The sequence below is a fragment of the Homo sapiens genome, chromosome 2 (genome assembly GCF_000001405.40).
Source record: "Homo sapiens chromosome 2, GRCh38.p14 Primary Assembly".
In the NCBI taxonomy this organism is placed as follows: domain Eukaryota; kingdom Metazoa; phylum Chordata; class Mammalia; order Primates; family Hominidae; genus Homo; species Homo sapiens.
Genome location: NC_000002.12, coordinates 107,900,608 through 107,920,606, shown reverse-complemented (window position 1 = coordinate 107,920,606; position 19,999 = coordinate 107,900,608). Strand labels below are relative to the sequence as shown.

The window sequence follows — 19,999 nt, the reverse complement described above, 5'->3', positions numbered from 1 at the left end:
AACAGTGACACAAAGGTATAATTCTCTATGGTTTGAAATGGATCATGTGAGGCATGTAATACCAAGAATTGTTACTTTACAATGTTCCCTTAAGCAAAATTAAATTTGCCTTGAACTTTAGTTATGCATAGACTGATAATAAAGCTCTAAACATGCAAAAAATAATAATAAAAGTAAAAATGGAGACACTACCACTGATTTTACAGAAATAACGGATTAAAAGAGAATAGAAAAATAGATGAAAAAATAGACAACCTAGATGAAATGAAGAAATTTATTGAAACATAGAAATTATGTAGGTTGACAGAAGAAATAGAAAATCTCAACAGTTCTATAACAAAGTGATTGTAAACATAATTAAGAAAAAACTTCCCCAAAAGAAAAGTCCTGAATCAGATGGCTTCACAGGTGAATTCTACTAAAGAAAGAAAAATTGACAGAAATTATTTCTCAAATAATCCAAAAAATTGAAGTTTTGGGGATAGCAAGGAACACTTGCTATGCATTCTGTGAAACCAGCATTACCTTGCTATTAAAGCCAGATGATATTGCAAGAAAAGAAAATTGCAGACTAACATTGCTTATAAATATAGATGGAAAATCCTTAACAAATATTAGCAAGGCCGGGCACGGTGGCTCACGCCTGTAATCCCAGCACTTGGGGAGGCCGAGGCAGGCAGATAACCTGAGGTCAGGGGTTCAAGACCAGCCTGGCCAACATGGTGAAATCCTGCCTCTACTAAAAATACAAAAATTAGCCTGGCATGGTGGTAGGTGCCTGTAATCCCAGCTACTCGGAGGCTGAGGCAGGAGAATTGCTTGAACCCAGGAGGCGGAGGTTGCAGTGAGCTGAGATCATGCCACTGCACTCCAGCCTGGGTGACAGAGTGAGAATCCAGCTCAAAAAAAAAAAAAATTAGCAAATTGACTCCATCAGTATACTATAAGGATTATTCACAATTGAATGGGATTTTACCATGAATGCAAGGACGTTTCAACAGAAGAAAATTAATCAATGTAGTACATCACATTATTTGAACAAAAGAAAAAAAATCACATTATCATCTCAATTGACATGGAAAAAGCATTTGAGGAATTTTAACATCCTTTCATAATAAAAACTCTCGGCTGGGTGCAGCGGCTCACACCAGTAATCCCAGCACTTTGGGAGGCCTTGATGGGTGGATCAGCTGAAGTCAGGAGTTCAAGACCAGCCTCGCCAACATGGTGAAACCCCGTCTCTACTAAATAATACAAAAATTAGCCGTGCATGGTGGTGGGCACCTGTAATCCCAGCTTCTTGGGAGGCTGAGGCAGGGAGAATTGCTTGAACCAGGGAGGCAGAGGTTGCAGTGAGCTGAGATGGTGCCACTGCACTCCAGCCTCGGCAACAGAGTGAGACTCCATCTCAAAAAACAAAAAACAAAAACAAGCAAACAAACAAACAAACAAAAAACTCTCAGCAAATTAGGAACAGAGGGAAAATTTCTCAACATGATAGAGTGTGTTTCTGGAAAACTTACAGCTAACATTATATTCAATGGTAAAAAAAACTGAATAAGTTCCCCTTAAGATAAGGCACAAGAAAAAGTTTCCCAGTGCTGTTTGACACTGAATTGAAAGTTCTAGCTAGACAAGAAAAGCAAATAGACCGGGTGTGGTGGCTCATGCCTGTAATCCCAGCACTTTGGGAGGCCGAGGTGGGCAGGTCCTTTGAGCGCAGGAGTTTGAGCCCAGCCTCAGCAACATAGTGACACCCTGTCTCTACAAAAAATACAAAAAACAAAGTGGCCGGGCGCGATGGCTCACACCTGTAATCCCAGCACTTTGCGAGGCTGAGGCAGGTGAATCACCTGAGATCAGGAGTTCAAGACCAGCCTGGCCAATGTGGTAAAACCCTGCCTCTACAAAAAATGCAAAAATTAGCCCCCCATGATGTTGGGTGCCTGTAATCCCAGCTACTCGGGAGACTGAGGTGGGAGAATCGCTTGAACCTAGAAGGTGGAGGTTGCAGTAAGCCAAGATCGTGCCATTACACTCCAGTCAGGGCAACAGAGTGAGACTCCATCTCAAAAAAAAAAAAGTGATCCAAATCTAAAGGAATAGATGAAACTATTTCTGTGTATAGATGACATAATTCCTTGTAAACAAAACACCACAGAATCCACAAGAAAACTCAGAGCTAATGAATGAATTCAGCAAAGTTGCAGTGTACAAAATCAGCACACAAAAACAAATTGTTTTCTATACACTAGAAGGAAATTAAGAAAAAATTCCATTTACAATAGCATCTAAAAAATTAAATATACTTAGAAATAAATCTAACTGAAGAGGTGAAAGATTGATACACTGAAAACTATAAAAGATAAAAACTACAAAAAAATTAAAAAGATCAAAGTAATTGAAAATACATTCTGTGTCTGTGGATAGGAAGACTTACCACTGTTAAGATGTCAATACTACTGAAAATGATCAGCAAATTCAACACAATCTCTTCTAAAATTCCAACAGCCTTTTCTTTTCCACAAATGAGGAAGCTGATCCTCAAATTTACATAGAATTGAAAGTGACCCTGAAGAGCCAAAACAATCTTGATAAGGAAGAATAGAGTTGGAAGACTCACACTTTCTGATTTCAAAACTTACTACAAAGCTACAGTAATTAAAACAGAATGGCACTGGCATAAGGACAGACATATCCAATGAAATAGAATCGAGAGTCAGAAAAAGGTCTCATATATATGGTGAATGGATTTTTTCTTTTTTTATTTTTAACTGACACATAATAATTGCACAGATTTATGAGGCACAGTGTGATATTTTGATACATGTATACAAAGTGTGATGCTCAAATCAGGATAATTAACATATCAATCACCTCAAACATTTATAATTTCCTTGTGGTAGGAACATTCAAAATCCTCTGTTCTAGCTATTAAAAATATATAATAAATTATTGTTAACTATAGTCACCCTACAATGCTACAGAACATTAGAACTTTTTCCTCCTATCCAGCTGTAATTTTTTGTCCATTAGCTAACCTCCCCCATTCTCCCCACCTCCCTGCCTTTCCCAGCCTTTAGTAACCACTATTCTTCTCTTTGCTTCTATGAGCTCAACTTTTTATTCTTCCACATATAAGTGAGAACATGTGGTATTTATCTTTCTGTGCCTGGCTTATTTCAGTTAACACAAAATCCTCTAGGTTCATTCATGTTGCTGTAAATGACAGAATTTTATTTTTTATTTTTATTTTTCATTGTGGTTATAGACCACATTTTATTTATCCATTAATTTGTTGGTGAGCACTTAGGTTGATATCATATCTTGGCCATCATGAATAGTGCTGCAATAAACACAGGAATGCAGATCTCTTTTTTTTTTTTTGTAGCCATGTGTTAGTCACTTTAATAGAAAATGTGGTCAAAACCTGACTACAAGAGTTCAGAGAAAAACCAGTGAGTTTCAATTTCATTACAAGTTTTTAAATCTGGAACTAGTCTTTATGTTTTTGTTTTGTTTTGTTTTTTAACTTAAATGCTAACTTCAGCTCTGGGTTTTTTCACAACCAAACTAAAAATTACTTACTACGTGGGAACATCAATGCAACAAACAAGGAAAATTTGTAAACTCAAGCCACAAACTTACAGTTAATAATCATGGTAAGGGACATTGCCACAGAGCAACTGATGCCTCAGTGAAGTTTGAAAGAAACTCTGCCTTCTGTGAAGGCAGAGAAGAAATATGCAGGCAATTCTGCTTCAAAGAAATCTGCTAGGAATGGAAAATGCTAAAGCCTTTAAGACAAGTGAAATTGCAAAGCCTCAACATGTTCAGCTCAATCCACAGAGCACCAAATGTTAAATTGGAGCCAAAGTAGGATTGAACATTGAATTTCCAGCTATGCAACTCACAGAGCACAATTTCAGGTGTGGAAGCCATCTGTAGGCAAGTTCTTTTAAAAACATGAATTTCATACACCGTAAATTCTAAAACACACACTTCTGCATTATTGTTCAAATTTCAGAAGGGTACCCCAAGTCACCAGGGTCTTTCAAAGTCACCCACGGCAACAATTCTGTCTTTTTATTCCAGCCTTGGTAGCCCCCTTCCACAGTTCTCTAGCCTCTGCACACACTGCGCCTCACCACTGTAGAATGACTTCTGACATTAAATCCAGTCATGGCCTAAGTCGCATGAGGCAGCTATTTCCCAGGCACCTCCCTTCTCCTTGGCATGGGAGGCTTCCCAACCACTTCAGGCCCCACACAGGAGGCCACATCTGGAAGCACTATTCCTCCAGCTCCCTCTGCTGGAGACCAAAGTGACAGATTGTTGCAAAGATGTGTAGAAACAGATTACTTACACATTCATTTTTGTACACATTTAGTTAATTTAGAACCTGGGACTTTTACAATAGATTCCCCAAACCCCTTTATGGAGAGTGACAGACTACTCAGCAATGCTGAAGGAGCAGTTTCTCTCTCTAGGAAGAAGAGGATTAGTAGACATAATTGTGTGCATCAAGAGAAATTTGTAATAAAAAAATCAAAGTAAGATTAATGCCCCAGAAACCTGCATTTTATTGACACTGTCATTTTTGCAGACAGAGAATCTTAGAAAGATGTCACTTTTTTTTTTTTTTTTTGTGACGGAGTCTGCAGTGGTGCAATCTCGACTCACTGCAACATCCACCTCCCACGTTCAAGTAATTCTCCTGCCTCAGTCTCCCGAATAGCTGGGATTACAGGCACCTGCCATCACGCCTGGCTAATTTTTGTATTTTTAGTAGAGACGGGCTTTTACCATGTTAGCCAGGCTGGTCTCAAACTCCTGACCTCATGATCCGCCAGCCTTAGCCTCCCAAAGTGCTGGGATTACAGGTGTGAGCCACCGCACCTGGCCATCTTTTCTTTTAATGAATGAGAGGAGCCCACTTGTATCCCTGAATCATTCTTTGGGGAAAGCAACAGAAACAATTGACAGTCACACTTTTTAAAATAAAACAGTCACTCCCTTCAGTCCATACCTCCACGCCCTCATCTGTCTGCCCAATGTCTGTCAGTTCCGTAAAGTTACCCTCTCCTTCTACTCTAGTATTACCACAAGAACTGAAAATTTCAAGCAGAAAAAAATAAAAAATAAAAAAAATCATGTTACAAATAAGTGAGTGGAGGCCCAAGGGAAGCCCTTTGACTATGATTTCCAGTTCTCTGTTCAATCTACACTGCAGAGACAAAACGATAAACCACCAATTTGGTTCCCAAGTTTTATTCAAGAACTCATACAAAATATTTCAGATAAATGAAATTTAATCCTCGTCTTCCTCCTCTTCTTCATCCTGGTTAATTTGGAAGTAACATAATTTGTAACTCTCTTTACTGTTAGCAACTATGCACAACCAATCATGAAGATTATTCTTCTTCAAATATTTTTTAGTGAGATATATCAAATACCTTTTGGAAAAAGGTACCTTGGATGTCACGGTGATCTTGCTCTTGCTCTTTTCGATGGTCACCACCCCTCCACCAAGGTTCCCAACTTTTCCGTTCACTTTGATCCTTTCTTGCAAAAACTGCTCAAAATTGGCAGCATCTATGATTCCATCTTCTATGGGGTGGGTGCAACCAAGAGTGAACCTCAGAACCTGCTTTGTTTTTTGCCCGCCTTCTCCACAAGCTTTCTCACGGGCACCATGGCAGCAGCGGAGGCAGAAAGCCAGATATCTCTTTAACGTACTGATTTTCTTTCCTTTGGATGTATATCCAGTGATGGGATTGCTGGATCATATGGTAGCTTAATTTTTAGTTTTTTGAGGAACCTCCATACTGTTTTCCATAGCGGCTGTACTAATTTACATATCCACCAACAGTGTGTAAGAATTCCCTTTAATCTGCATCCTCTCCAGTATTTGTTATTTTTTGTCTTTTTGATAATAGCTATTCTGATTGGGATGAAATGAAATCTCATTGCAGTTTAGATTTTCATTTCCCTGATGGTTAGTGATATTAAGCATTTTTTTCTTATACTTGTTGGCCATTTGTAGATCTTTTGAAAAATGCCTACTTAGATCATTTGCCCATTTAAAAAAAATAGGGTTATTTTTTGTTGTGTTTTATTTGCTGTTGAGTTATTTGAGTTCTTTGTTTATTCTGGATGTTAATCCCTTGTCAAATGAGTAGTTTGTAAACAGTTTCTTCCATTCTGCAAGTTGACTCTTTACTCTGTTGTTTCCTTTGCTGTGCAGAGGCTTTTGAGTTTGATATAATCCCATTTGTCTATTTTTTCGTTGTTGCCTGTGCTTTTGTGTTCTCATCCATAAAATATTTGCCTAGATCAATGACCTAAGCATTTTCCTTATGTTTTCTTCTGGTAGTTTTATAGTTTTGGGTCTTGCATTTAAGTCTGTAATCCATTTGAGTTTATTTTTGTATATGGTGAGAGATAGGGGTCTAGTTTTATTCTTCTGCATATGGATATCCAGTTTTCTCATTACCACTTATTGAAGAGGCTGTCCTTTTGCCAATGTATATTCTTGATGTCTTTGTTGAAAATCAGTTGGCTGTAGATACATGTATTTATTTCTGGGTTCTCTATTCTGTTTCAGTAGTCTATGTACCTGTTTTTATGCCAGTACTGTGCTTTTCTGGTTACTATCTTGCACTATATTTTGAGGTCAGGTAGTGTGATGCCTCCAGCTTGGTTCTTTTTCTCAGGTTTGCTTTGGCTAGTCCAAGTCTTTTGTGGTTCCATATGAATTTTAGGATTGTTTTTATTTCTGCAAAGAATATCATTGATATTTTGATAGAGATTGTACTTAATCTGTAGATCATTTGGAATAGTGTGGTCATTTTAACAATATTAATTCTTCCAACCCATGAACATGGAATGTCTTTTCATTTTTAGGTCCTCTTCAATTTTTTTCATCAGTCTTTTATTGTTTTCATTGTAGAGGTCTTTCACCTCCTTGGTTAAATTTATTCCTAGGCATTTTTTTTTTGGTCGCCTTTTAAAATACAATTGCTTTCTTGATTTCATTTTCAGAAAGTTTGTTATTGGTGCATAGAAATGCTACTAATTTTTGTATGCTGATTTTACATTCTCAACTTTACTGAATTTGTTTATCAGTTCTAAGACTACCAAAAAGTAGTGTAGGCTCCAAATCCTACCATGACTGCGTCTCTTTTTCCTAGGTACATCTTCGACCTTGGCAAAATAAACTTCTAAATTGATTGAGACCTGTCTCAGACACTTTTTTGGTGTATGCTTGCTTTGTGAAATGAATTTAGAATTCCTTCTCTTTCAATTTTTTGGAGGAGTTTGAGAAGAATCGGAGTGAGTTCTTTGAAAATTTGGTAGAATTCAGCAGAGAAAGTTTTTCTTCATATGCATGGGGAAAAATCTCTCCTCAAATCATGTTTTCCTCTACTCTCCCATCTCAACAATCATCTACACAGAAGAAAACTTCTATGACCAGATGTATGGGGATCTTTCCCACAACCAAGCAGCAGACACCAGCTGAATGTTCTTCAATTCCATTCTAACACTATTTACATGGAGAGAGTGCCAGATCCCACAGGTTAAGGACTCAGTCCCCAAGCCTATTCTCTCCTTCCCCTAACCCACCGGTCCCAAGTCCAGGCCTCTGGAACTTCTGACTGATTGCCTTCAAGTTGGGGTTCCCACAACACCCTCTTTGGATTTAATTAATTTGTTAAGTGGCTCCCAGAACTCAAACGCTTACATTTACTGTTATACTAAGATGTATATTTTAAAGGATGCAGATAACCAGATGAAGAGATATATAGGATGAGATCTGCAAGGGTCCCAAATGCAGGAGCTTCTGATCCTGTGGAGCTGGAGTGCGCCACCCTCCCAGCACGTGGGCGAGTTTTTCTTCACCTTCCTGTCGGCTTCCATGTGTTCGGCTATCAGGAAGCTCACTGAACCCTGTCCTCTTGGATTTTTATGGAAGTTTCAAGGCAGCAGCATTCTTCCCCCAGAGGTATAGGGTGAGACCCCCTGGAGACTCACAATCAGAAAGGCAGGGGAACATTAGAGTGAAAGGAGGGCAGGAGAATGTCAGAGGCCTGTCCTTGAGGCCTAATGCCCCCAACCTTATAACAAAAGACTGTATCAAGGAGTATGGGAATTATGATCCAGAAACAGTGGATGAAAACCAAACAGGGACAATTTGACTTCCTCTTTTCCAACTTGGATGCATTGATTTCTTTCTCTTGTCTAATTGCTCTGGCTAAGACTTACGGTGCTACCTGAGTAAGAGTGGTAAAAGTGGGCATCCTTGTCTTGTTCCAGTTCTTAGAGGAGAGGTTTTCAGCTTTTTGCTCTTCGGTATGACATTGGCTGTGGGGGTTTGTCATCTATGGCTTTTATTATGTTGAGGTATGTTTCTTCTATAGTAATTTGTTGAGAGTTTTTATCATGAAGGGATATTGAATTTTATCACATGCTTTTACTGCATATATTGAATATTGAATTACCTTTTTTTGTTACTTTGTTTTTTTGAGTCAGGGTCTGGCTCTGTCGTCCAGGCTGGAGTGCAGTGGTGCAATCTCGGCTCACTGAAGGCTTAAGTGATCCTCCCTCCTCAGCCTCCCAAACAGCTGGGACTACAGGCATGCACCACCACACCTGGCCAATTCTTGTATTTTTTTTTTTTTTTAGAAATGGGTTTTTACCCTATTGCCAGGCTGGTCTCCAACTCTTGAGCTCAAGCAATCCACCTGCCTTGGCCTCCCAAAGTGCGGGGTTTACAGGCATGAGCCACCATGCCCAGCCAAGTTATCGTCTTTGTTATGTTATTGTTTCTATTGATGTGATATGTCACATTTATTGACTGGTATGTTTTGAAATATTCTTGCATCCTTAGAATAAATCCCTGTAGGCCATGGTGTATAATCTTTTTGATGTTCTGTTGGATTTGATATGCTAGTATTTTATTGAGGGTTGCCTGTACTTTTCTTTTTTGCTGTGTCTTTTTCTGGTTTTGGTGTCAGGGTAATGCTGGTGTGACAAGAAAATAAAATCTTGAGACCTCAAACTCACTATGCCAAAGGGAAGAGTTAAGCTTGGAAACTGAGTCAAGCAAAAAACTGCCTTTCTTCTTGTTCTTAAAGCAACAGCTGAAAGATAGAAGGGCATGCATCTCCTCAGGTGGCCTCCCTCACCCTGATAATGTAAATTAACAGCTTATCTTTATGAGTATAGGATAAGGCAAGGCTAGAAATCATCCCCCTACCTACTCTGAGATAAATGCATATTTGACTTCTTTCTCTATGTTTACTTTATCTTATGTAAAATGAAGATTTACTGAGCACAAGACAAATACATAATTGACTGTTCCTTTACTCCCTCCTATTATGTGCAACATGTGGATTCAGTGAGTGCTGGTCAAAGCCTCATAAGAATGTGACCACTTACTTCACTGTATATCCTCCCTCTTCTTTTGCTTTCATCTTTTTCCTCCTGCCTAGTTTTTCCACTTTAAATATTGAAGCCCTCAAAACCCACTTTGGAAAAAGTGTAGGCCCCAAATTCTACTGTGACTGTGTCTCTTTTTCCTGGGTATATCCTCGACCTTAGCAAAATAAACTTCTAAATCGATTGAGGCCTGTCTCAGACACTTTTTTGGTTTATACTGGCTTTGTGAAATGAATTTGGAATTCCCTGTCTTTCAATTTTTGGGAAGAGTTTAAGAAGAATTGGAGCGAGCTCTTTAAAAGTTTGGTAGAATTCAGCGGTGAAACTATCTGGCCCTGAGCTTTTCTTTTTGTGAGACTTTTATTTATTACTGATTTAATTTAATTGCCTATTATTGGTCTGGTCATGCTTTTTATTTCTTTTGGTATAATTCTGGTGGGTTATATGTGTCTAGAATTATGTCCATTTATTTTAGGTTTGTCAATTTCTTGGCATATAGTTCTTCATAATCTCTAATGATTCATTGTATTTCTGTGGTATCAGTTGTAATGTCTCCCTTTTCACTTCTGATTTATTTATTTGGGTTTTCTGTCCTTTTTTAAATTAGCCTAGCTAATGGTTTTGTAATTTAGTTTATCTTTTCAAAAAACCAACTTTTCTTTTTATTGATTTTTTTTTTTTTTTTGAGATGGAGTTTCACTCTTGTTGCCCAGGCTGGCACAATCTCAGCTCACCACAACCTTTGCCTCCTGGGTTCAAGCAATTCTTCTGCCTCAGCCTCCCAAGTAGCTGGGATTACAGGCATGTACCACCATGCCCAGCTAATTTTGTATTTTTAGTAGAGATGGGGTTTCTCCATGCTGCTCAGGCTGGTCTTGAACTCCTGACCTCAGGTGATCTGCCTGCCTCGGCCTCCCAAAGTGCTGGGATTACAGGTGTAAGCCACTGCACCCGGCCTTATTGATCTTTCATATATATATTTTAGTCTCTATTTTGTTTTGTTTTTGCTCTGATCTTTATTTTTTTCCTTCTACTAATTTCCTTCTACTAATTTGGTTTGTTCTATCTTTTCTAGTTCCTTGAAGTGCATCATTAGGTTGTTTATTTAAAATCTTTCTTTTGTTTTTGATGTCAGCATTTATTGCTATAAATTTCCCTCTTAGTACTGCTTTTGCTTTATCCCATAGCTTTTGGTATGCTGTGTTTCTTTTTTTCTTTTTTTTTTAGATGGAGTCTAGCTCTGTCACCAGGCTGGAGTAAAGTGGCGTGATCTTGGCTCACTGCAATCTCTGCCTTGAGGATTCAAGCAATTCTCCTGCCTCAGCCTCCCGAGTAGCTGGGATTACAGGTGCGCGCCACCACACCTGTTGGGGAAAAGCTGAGTGTTGGGAAAAAAGCTGAGTCAGGGCTTGCATGACTGATATAATGTAAAAGAGTCTTGGAGTATGTCCGAGGTCCAGGGTCTAAAACCCCTCACGGCCTTTGGAACACCAAGCTCTGTGCTAAAGGGTGGAAGGCTGCCCTGTCACACCATAATCTAAGCCCAGGGCATAAAACCCCTCGTGGCTTGGATGGAATCCAGGACTCAGGGTATAAAACCCCTCGTGGTCTCTGGAATGTGTCTAGGCTTGCTGGCTTCTTGCTTCTAGCATTCCCAGGCTCATAGATCGATTGTATCTTAAACTAGAAGAACATGTTTCCCATTATCTCAAGTAGCAGAACATGTTCCATATGCTTCAAAGAAAATGCTAAACTGTCACAGCTGTAGATTATGCACTTGATGCACTGCTTTCTTTCAACCCCCACATCCTCACTACCTGCTTCTTTGTTTGATCACCAATAAATACCGCAGGCTTCCAGAGCTCAGGACCTTCGCAGCCTCCATACCAGCATTGGCCCCCTGGTCCCACTTTATGTACGCTTGTCTTGTCTTGTTCCTTTGGCTCCACAAGACTTTGTAGCCCTCACGGCCTGGTGTTGGATCTGATCACCCCAACACACACCCAGCTAATTTTTTTGTATTTTTAGTAGAGATGTGGTTTTACCATGTTGGCCAGGATGGTCTTGATTTCCTGATCTTGTGATCTGCCCACCTTGGCCTCCCAAAGTGCTGGGATTACAGGTGTGAGCCACCGCACCCTGCCGGTATGTTGTGTTTCTAATTTCATTTGTTTCAAGAAATTTTTAAATTTTATTCTTAATTCATTGACTCATTGGTCCTTCAGAATCATGTTGTTTAATTTCCATGTATTCATACAGTTTCCAAAGTTCCTTTTGTTATTGATTTATAGTTTTATTTCACTGTGATCAGGAAAGATACTTGATATAGTTTCAATTTTGAAAAAATTGTTGAGACTTGTTTTGTGTCTGCACATATGGTCTATCCTGAAGAGTGTTCCATGTGCTGATGAAAAGAATATGTGTTCTACAGCTGTTGGATGAAATGCTCTGTGTCTGTTAGGTCTATTTGGTCTAAAGTGCAGTTTAAATCTGATGTTTCTATGTTGATTTACTGTCTAGATGATCTGTCCAATGCTGACGTGGTGTGTTGAAGTCCTCTACTATTACTGTACTGGGATCTATCTCTCCCTTTAGGTCTAATAATATTTGCTTTATATATCTGATTTCTCCAGTGTTGGGTGCAAATATATTTATACTTATTATATCCTTTTGCTAAACTGTGCCCTTTATCATTATGTAATGATCTTCTTTGACTCTTTTTATAGTTTTTAAATTAAAGTCTACATTATCTAAGTATACCCAACCATGTTTTCTGTAGGTTTGTGTTTTCCTGGAATATCTTTTTCCATCTCTTTACTTTCAGTCTGTGTGTGTTTCTTTAAAAAAAAAAAAAAGCTCACGCCTGTAATCCCAGCACTTTGGAAGGCTGAGGCAGGCAAATCACAAGGTCAGAAGTTCAAGACCAGCATGGCCAACATAGTGAAACCCTCTCTCTACTAAAAATACAAAAAATTAGCTGGGTGTGGTGGTGGGCACCTGTAATCTCAGCTACTTGGGAGGCTGAGGCAGGAGAATTGCTTGAATCCGGGAGGCAGAGGTTGCAGTGAGCTGAGATCGCGCCATTGCATTCCAGCCCCAGCGACGGTGCAAGACTCCGTCTCAAAAATAAAATAAAATAATTAAAAACAAGTTTTGTGGGTACATAGTAGGTGTATATGTTTATGGTTTACATGAGACATTTTGCTGTAGGCGTCTATCCCCTCAAGCATTTATCCTTTGTGTTACAAACAATCCAGTTATATCTTTTTTAGTTATGTTAACATGTACAGTTTAGTTATAACTGACTACAGTTCCCCTGCTGTGCCATCAGATAGTAGGTCTTATTCATTCTTTCTAACATTTTTTTAGTATCCACTAACCATGCCTACCTCCCCTCTGCCCACCCACTTCCCTTCCTAGGTTCTGGGAACAATCCTTGTATTCTCTATCTTCATGAGTTCAATTATTTTGATTTTTAGATCCCACAGTTAAGTGAGAACATGCAATGTTTGTCTTTCTCTGCCTGGCTTATTTCACTTAACATAATGACTTCCAGTTCCATGAACATCAAATGATAGAATCTTATTTTATTTTATTTTATTTTATTTTTTGAGACAGAGTCTCGCTCTGTCGCCCGGGCTGGAGTGCAGTGGCGTGATCTCAGCTCACTGAAACTTCTGCATCCCAGGTTCAAGCAACTCTCCAGCCTCAGCCTCCTGAGTAGCTGGGACTACAGGCATGTGCCACCGCATCCAGCTAATTTTTATATTTTTAGTAGAGATGAGGTTTCGCCATGTTGGCCAGGCTGGTCTTGAACTCCTGACCTCACGTGATCCTCCTGCCTTGGCCTCCCAATGTGCTGGGATTACAGGCATGAGCCACCATGCCTGGCTGATGAACGATCTTTTTAATGTAGAATTCTGTTGAGGATTTTTGTACCAATATCCATAAGAGATATTGGCCTGTAGTTGCCTTTTTTTGATGTGTCTATGTCTAGTTTTGTTATCAGGGTAATATTGGCCTTAAAGAATGAGTTTGGAAGTATTCCCTCTTCCTCTATTTCTTGGAATAGTTGAGTAGGATTAGTATTAATTCTTCTTTAAATTTTTGGTAGAATTCAGCAGTTAAGTCATTAAGTCCCAGGCTTTTCTTTACTGGGAGACTTATTATTATGGCTTTGCTCTTGTTACTTGTTATTGATCTGTTCAGGTTTTGGGTTTCTTCATGGTTCAATATCAGTAAGTTGTATGTGTCTAGGAATTTATCTGTTTCTTCTAGATTTTCCAATATATTGGCATATAGTTGCTTATAGTAGCCACTAATGATCCTTTGAATTTCAGAGTTATAATGGCTTATTTTTCATCTCTGATTTTATTTATGCGTGTTTTCTCTTTTTTTCTTAGTCTGCCTAAATGTTTGTCAATTGTATTTATCTTTGCAAAAAACAACTCTTTGTTTTATTGATTTTTTGTATTGTTTCCTTTTGGTTTGTTTGTTTGTTTCTTTGTTTGTTTTTGAGACGGAGTTTCACTCTTGTTGCCCAGGCTGGAGTGCAATGGCGTGATCTCAGATCACTGCAACCTCCATCTCCCGAGTTCAAGTGATGCTCCTGCCTCAGCCTCCTGAGTAGCTGGGATTACAGGCATGTGCCACCACGCCCAGCTAATTTTGTATTTTTAGTAGAGATGGGGTTTCTCTATGTTGGTCAAGCTGGTCTTGAACTCCCAACCTCAGGTGATCCACCTGCCTCAACCTCTCAAAGTGCTAGGATTACAGGCATGAGCCACTGTGCCCAGCCTTGTATTGTTTTCTTCATTTCAAATTCATTTATTTCTGCTCTGATCTTTATTATTTCCTTTCTTCTACTAATTTTGGGATCAGTTTTCTCTTGCTTTTCTAATTCTTTAAGATGTATCATTAGGTTATTTATGTGAAGTTGTTCGTATTTTTTGAAGTAGGCACTTACAGCTATAAATTTCCCTCTTATAACTGCTTTCACTGTAGGTTTTGGTATGTTGTGTTTTCATTATCATTTGTTTCAAAAAAAATTTTTTCAGTTTCTTTCTTGGTTTCTTCACTGATCCACTAGTCCTTCAGGAGTGTATTTTTAAATTTCCATATGCTTGTATAGTTTTGCAAAATTCTTCTTGTTATTGTTTCCTTTCATTGTGGTCAGAGAAGATGCTTGATATTATTTCACTTTTTTGAATGTTTTAAGGCTCATTTTGTGACCTAAAATATGATCTATCCTTGAGAATGATCCATGTGCTGAGGAGAAAAATGTGTATTCTGCAGCCATTGGGTGAAATGTTCTGTAAATATCTATTAGGTCCATTTTTCTATAGGGCAGATTAAGTTTGATGTTTCTTTGTTGATTTTCTGTCTGGGAGATCTGTCCAATGCTGAAAGGGGGTTGTTGAAGTCGCCAGCTATTATTGTATTGGGGGTCTATCTCTCTCTTTAGCTACAATAATATTTGCTTCATATACCTGGGTGCTTCTTGGGAGCACTTCCAGCATCACTAGTGCCACTTCATGTGGATCCCATGGTGTTATTCAAGGTTTACAGTACAGCACGAAACAGGACAAAAAATACATGTGAACAGGGAGAGGGCACTTTTTACTGTGATGCGCAATTCACTGGAGATGACCTGCTTATGATGGAATGTTGAGTATCACAGAACGTTTTAAGTGGATACTTGCAACACCTGAGCTCATTGCAACAGCAACAGGAGGAGGCTATGAAATTATTACCGTACTGTGGTATGCACTACGGTTAAATTTATGCAGTTACAATTTAATACTGCATCTTGATGTTTGTATACACTTCTCTCAACTGAGAATAGCACCATATACGATCTGTGAGTGTGTACATAAGCTTTACTAAATTTTAACTTTTGCAATAGTTTTGTTATATTTTATGGCAGTAAATAATAAAATAGACTAGGTATCTACATACATTTTATGCATTCATGACATACTTAACTTTTTCTATTTTTGTTAATATTTCTAGCTGCATGGTTTGTCTTTGAGTTTTTTCAAATTGTTGCAAAACTCCAAAACATTTTCTAACACATTTATTGAAAAAAAATCTGTGTGTAACAGTTCAGACGTGTGTTGTTCAATGATCAACTATATGTCTAAAGAGTACAAATCAGTCTGTAACCTTCCCCAGCCTCTCCATGCTAAAGGAACTACAGGAAACTTTCGCACGCAAGATGTGTGGAGATTCCGCTGCTGCACTTGTAACAGGCATAAGAACGTTCAAATAGGCCGGGCGCGGTGGCTAATGCCCGTAATCCCAGCATTTTGGGAGGCCAAGGCGGGTGGATCACGAGGTCAGGAGGTCGAGACCAGCCTGGCCAGCATGGTGAAACCCCATCTCTACTAAAAATACAAAAAATTAGCCAGGCTTGGTGGCGGGCGCCTGTAGTCCCAGCTACCCGGGAGGCTGAGGCAGGAAAATAGTGTGAACCCGGGAGGCGGAGCTTGCAGTGAGCCGACATCACCCTGGGCAACAGAGTGAGACTCCATCTCAAAAAAAAAAAAAAAAATACAGCTAACATATACCACATTTAATATAGTGAAACTTTACCAAAACTTTAGTACTTACCAAAGGGACCCATGCTTCAATTTCAAAACTAGTTTAACTTTAAAAAAAAAAATCTAACTATACTCATTGAAGGTTTCCCATCTGTGACAGGTTTAGAGTACCAATGCATTTAATAGCAGTGAGCCATAGCCCTCCATATTAGGACCCACCTAAATGGGAAGCTTCACTGAGAATTATTAACAAAATTCTTCTGCCAAATTGTGCAGACAGGAACATAACAAATTTAAAATATCAATCTAAAGTAACATTACGAATATTCATGCAGGCAGCCTGAAGTCCTACTAAAGGCATGAAGTGCTACTTATTGCTTACCCGAACCACTCCTGTGTATAGCACCAGGTTTCCACTGCCTTCCAAGACCAGCATGGTGTCTATTTTCTTAAAAAAAAAAAAAAAAAAGACAAAAAATTTATTTCCCAATCTGAGCAAATTAACAGATTTTTTGACTGAAAAATCTGATGAAGCGTAATTGTCAACTTCTCAAATGTGCCTACATTACCTCCACTGGTGCTGCATCCTTTGCTGGTATGTTGGTCACTGAATCAAAGATGAGCTGGGTTTTATCATTACTCTCTTGAAACTTTACACAGCTAAATAATAAAATAAAAAAGAAACTTGATACATGCAATAACCTGTATGGGTATTAAAAGTATTATGCTGAACAGAAAAAGACAATCTCAAAAGTTTACATACTGTATGAGACCATTTATAAAACCTTCACAAATGCCAAATTATCAAGATGGAGAATTAGTGGTTACCAGCATCAGTGGGTAATGGTGTATGTGACTATAAGGAGTTAACGTAAGACAGATAAAGATGTTTTGTATCTTGATTGTGGTGGTATTTACACACATCTACATATGTGAAAAAACTGCATAGAACCATACATACACATAAATGAGTACATGTCAAATTGATGAAATTTGAAATAACGTGTGTAGATCATCTATTTCCTGGTTATGATAATGTATTATAGTTATATAAGAGGTTACCTGTGAGGGAAAAAGAATGCAAGGTACACAGGACTTATTTACTATTTTGTAACTTCCTGTGATCTATCGTATTTCAAAATATGAAGGTAAATAAATGGGCAAAAGATCTGAATAGATATTTTTCCTAAGAAGATAAATGAATGGCTAATAACTTCATGAGATGATCAACATCAGAATGCATTAGAGAAAAGCAAATTAAAGCCACTTCACAACCACTGGAAAATAGCTACAATCAAAGAGTGTGATGATATCCAATCCTGTCAAGGATAAAGAGACATTAACCTTCATATTTTGCTGGTGGGAATATAAAATGATACAGGCTATTTGGAAAACAGTTCGGTGATTTCTTAAAAAGTTAAACATGAATTTAACATGAAGTTAAACATGATTGAGCTGATTTTTAGAATATAGTCTAAGTGCTTCTCTTCCATCCTCTCCAGATTCTCACCTGCTACACACCCCTCAGAGGGACTGGAGGAATCCAGACAACGATGCGCAGGGGCCCTGGTGCTATACTACTGATCCAGAACAGAGATATGACTACTGCGACATTCCTGAGTGTGAAGGGCAGGAGTGGCTCTAGAAAATGTTTTCATTTCTGCTCTTCACCTGTAAAATAATTTGTTGTAAAGCCCCTTCCCACAGGGATATTATTAATAATTGCGTAACGTGTTCACCTCTCGGAAAGGAGCAAAACTTTGCTCAGATCCCAGAATTAACCTGATTTTTTTTTTTCTGAGACAGAATTTTGCTCTCATTGCCCAGGCTAGAGTGCAATGGTGCGATCTCGGCTCACCACAACCTCCGCCTCCGGGTTCAAGCGATTCTCCTACCTCAGCCTCCCAAGTAGCTGGAATTACATGCATGTGCCACCATGCCTGGCTAATTTTACATTTTTAGTAGAGACAGGGTTTCTCCATGTTGGCCAGGCTGGTCTTGAACTCTCGACCTCAGGTGAGCCACCCGCCTCAGCCTCCCAAAGTGCTGGGATTACAGGCGTGAGCCACCATGCCCAGCAGACCTGAATTATTATTATTATTAAAATGTTACATCAACATGTACAAATATAAAACTACATCTAAACTCTAAGTACAAACTTCTTATGCTTAAAACTCTTACACAGTGTTAACCCCAAGACAGATTTGCAATTAAGTAGTTAAAATAAAACAACAAAGTCAATAAAAATCAAATAAACAATATACATTTAATGTGGTAGACTTTGCTGTTTTGCTGAAGCTAAGCAAGGAACCAGTTTTTAAATCAGCAATCCGTTATTTTAATGGACTGAGCAATTTAATAGTGCACCTCAAAGGTCAATGCTAAAAACTAAAAAAAAAATTCCTACTGAAAAAACTGTCATCGTTTCACATTTCTGGCTACGTTAGTGCAAAAGGGAATAAATAAAGGTGAGATGTGTGTGACAGTGTGGATATGGTACTGTGTGACAACTCAGTTCTCCCATCACTTCCACCTGTTTGAATCATCGGGCTCCTTTATTTGTACACCATGTTATCGGTATTTGCCCTTAAGCACCACCAATGCATCACTTTTATATTAAGTCTGCCCATTTTCCTTAGTACTCCATAAAATTTAAGTCACATATTACTCTGCCTCACCATGTTACTTCAATAATTCTGAATCAAAGTTTAAGTTTGTGAATAATTTTGCAAAAAAAGAGCCAATCATGCTTCTCAACAACATAAAAAGAGAAGCACCATCACTTCAGGTGAATATTGTTCTCCGTGAGGCCATGAGCATAAACAAAAACTCCAGACTAAAACCCTGAGACGGTGCCAGGTCATTCAGCAGTCAGCAGAATGATGAGTATAATTTCAAACAAAGTTTTAAAGATCATTATTGAAATGATGTATTTTGAGCTTCCTGGATCTGTTCCTTTATGTCTACCTTAGTTCATTTGGGCTGCTGTGACAAAAATATCATAAACTGGAGAGTTTATAAACAACAGAAATTTATTTCTCACCGTTCTAGGGGCTGTGATGTTCAAGACCAAGGCACTAGCAGTGTCTGGTGAGGCCCTGCTTCCTCATAGATGACACATTCTGGCTTTGTCCTCACATGGTGTCAGGGGCTAGCTAATTCCCTGGGGCTTCTTTCATAAGTGCACTAATCTCTGTCCTGAGGGTAGAGCCCTCGTAACCTGATTGACTCCCAAAAGCCCCACCTCAGTACTATCACATTGAGGATTAAGTTTCAATATAACTTTTGAGGAGACACAAACATTCAGACCATAGCTTTATCTATCATGAATTTGGGGAAATTTTCAGTCACTGTTGCTTCAAATGTTTCTTCTGTTTCTTTCTCTTTTTTTTTTTTTTTTTTTTTGAGACAGAGTCTTGTTCTGTTGCCCAGGCTGGAGTGCAGTGGCATGATCTCAGCTCACTGCAAGCTCCTCCTCCCAGGTTCACGCCATTCTCCTGCCTCAGTCTCCCAAGTAGCTGGGACTACAGGCGCCTGCCACCACGCCCTGCTAATTTTTTGTATTTTTAGTAGAGACAGGGTTTCACCGTGTTAGCCAGGATGGTCTCGATCTCCTGACCTTGCGATCTGCCCGCCTCGGCCTCCCAAATTGCTGGGATTATAGGTGTAAGCCACCACGCCTGGCTTTCTTTCTCTTTTTCTTCTCTTTCTGGTATTTCCAAAAAGTCTCCATGTTCCACCTTTTGTAATTGTCTCACAGTTCTTGACTCTTGTTCTGTTTTTTCTTTTTCATTCTTTTTTCTCATTGTGTGTCAGCTTTTGAAGTATCTATTGGCATCTCTTTGAGCTCACTGATTCTTTCATTGGCCATATCCATTCTTTTGATGAACCCATCAAAGGCATTCTTCATTTCTGTTATGGTGTTTTTTATTTCTAGTATTTCATTTTTATTTCTTCTTAGTGTTTTTATCTCTTTGCTTACATTACCCATCTGTTCTTGCATGTTATGCCATTTT

At 38.8% G+C, this 19,999-nt stretch overlaps 1 pseudogene; it reads right to left on the bottom strand.

Moving 5' to 3' along the window:
* Positions 1-5,112: 5,112 nt before the first annotated feature.
* RPL22P8 (ribosomal protein L22 pseudogene 8) lies at positions 5,113-5,718 on the bottom strand (annotated as a pseudogene).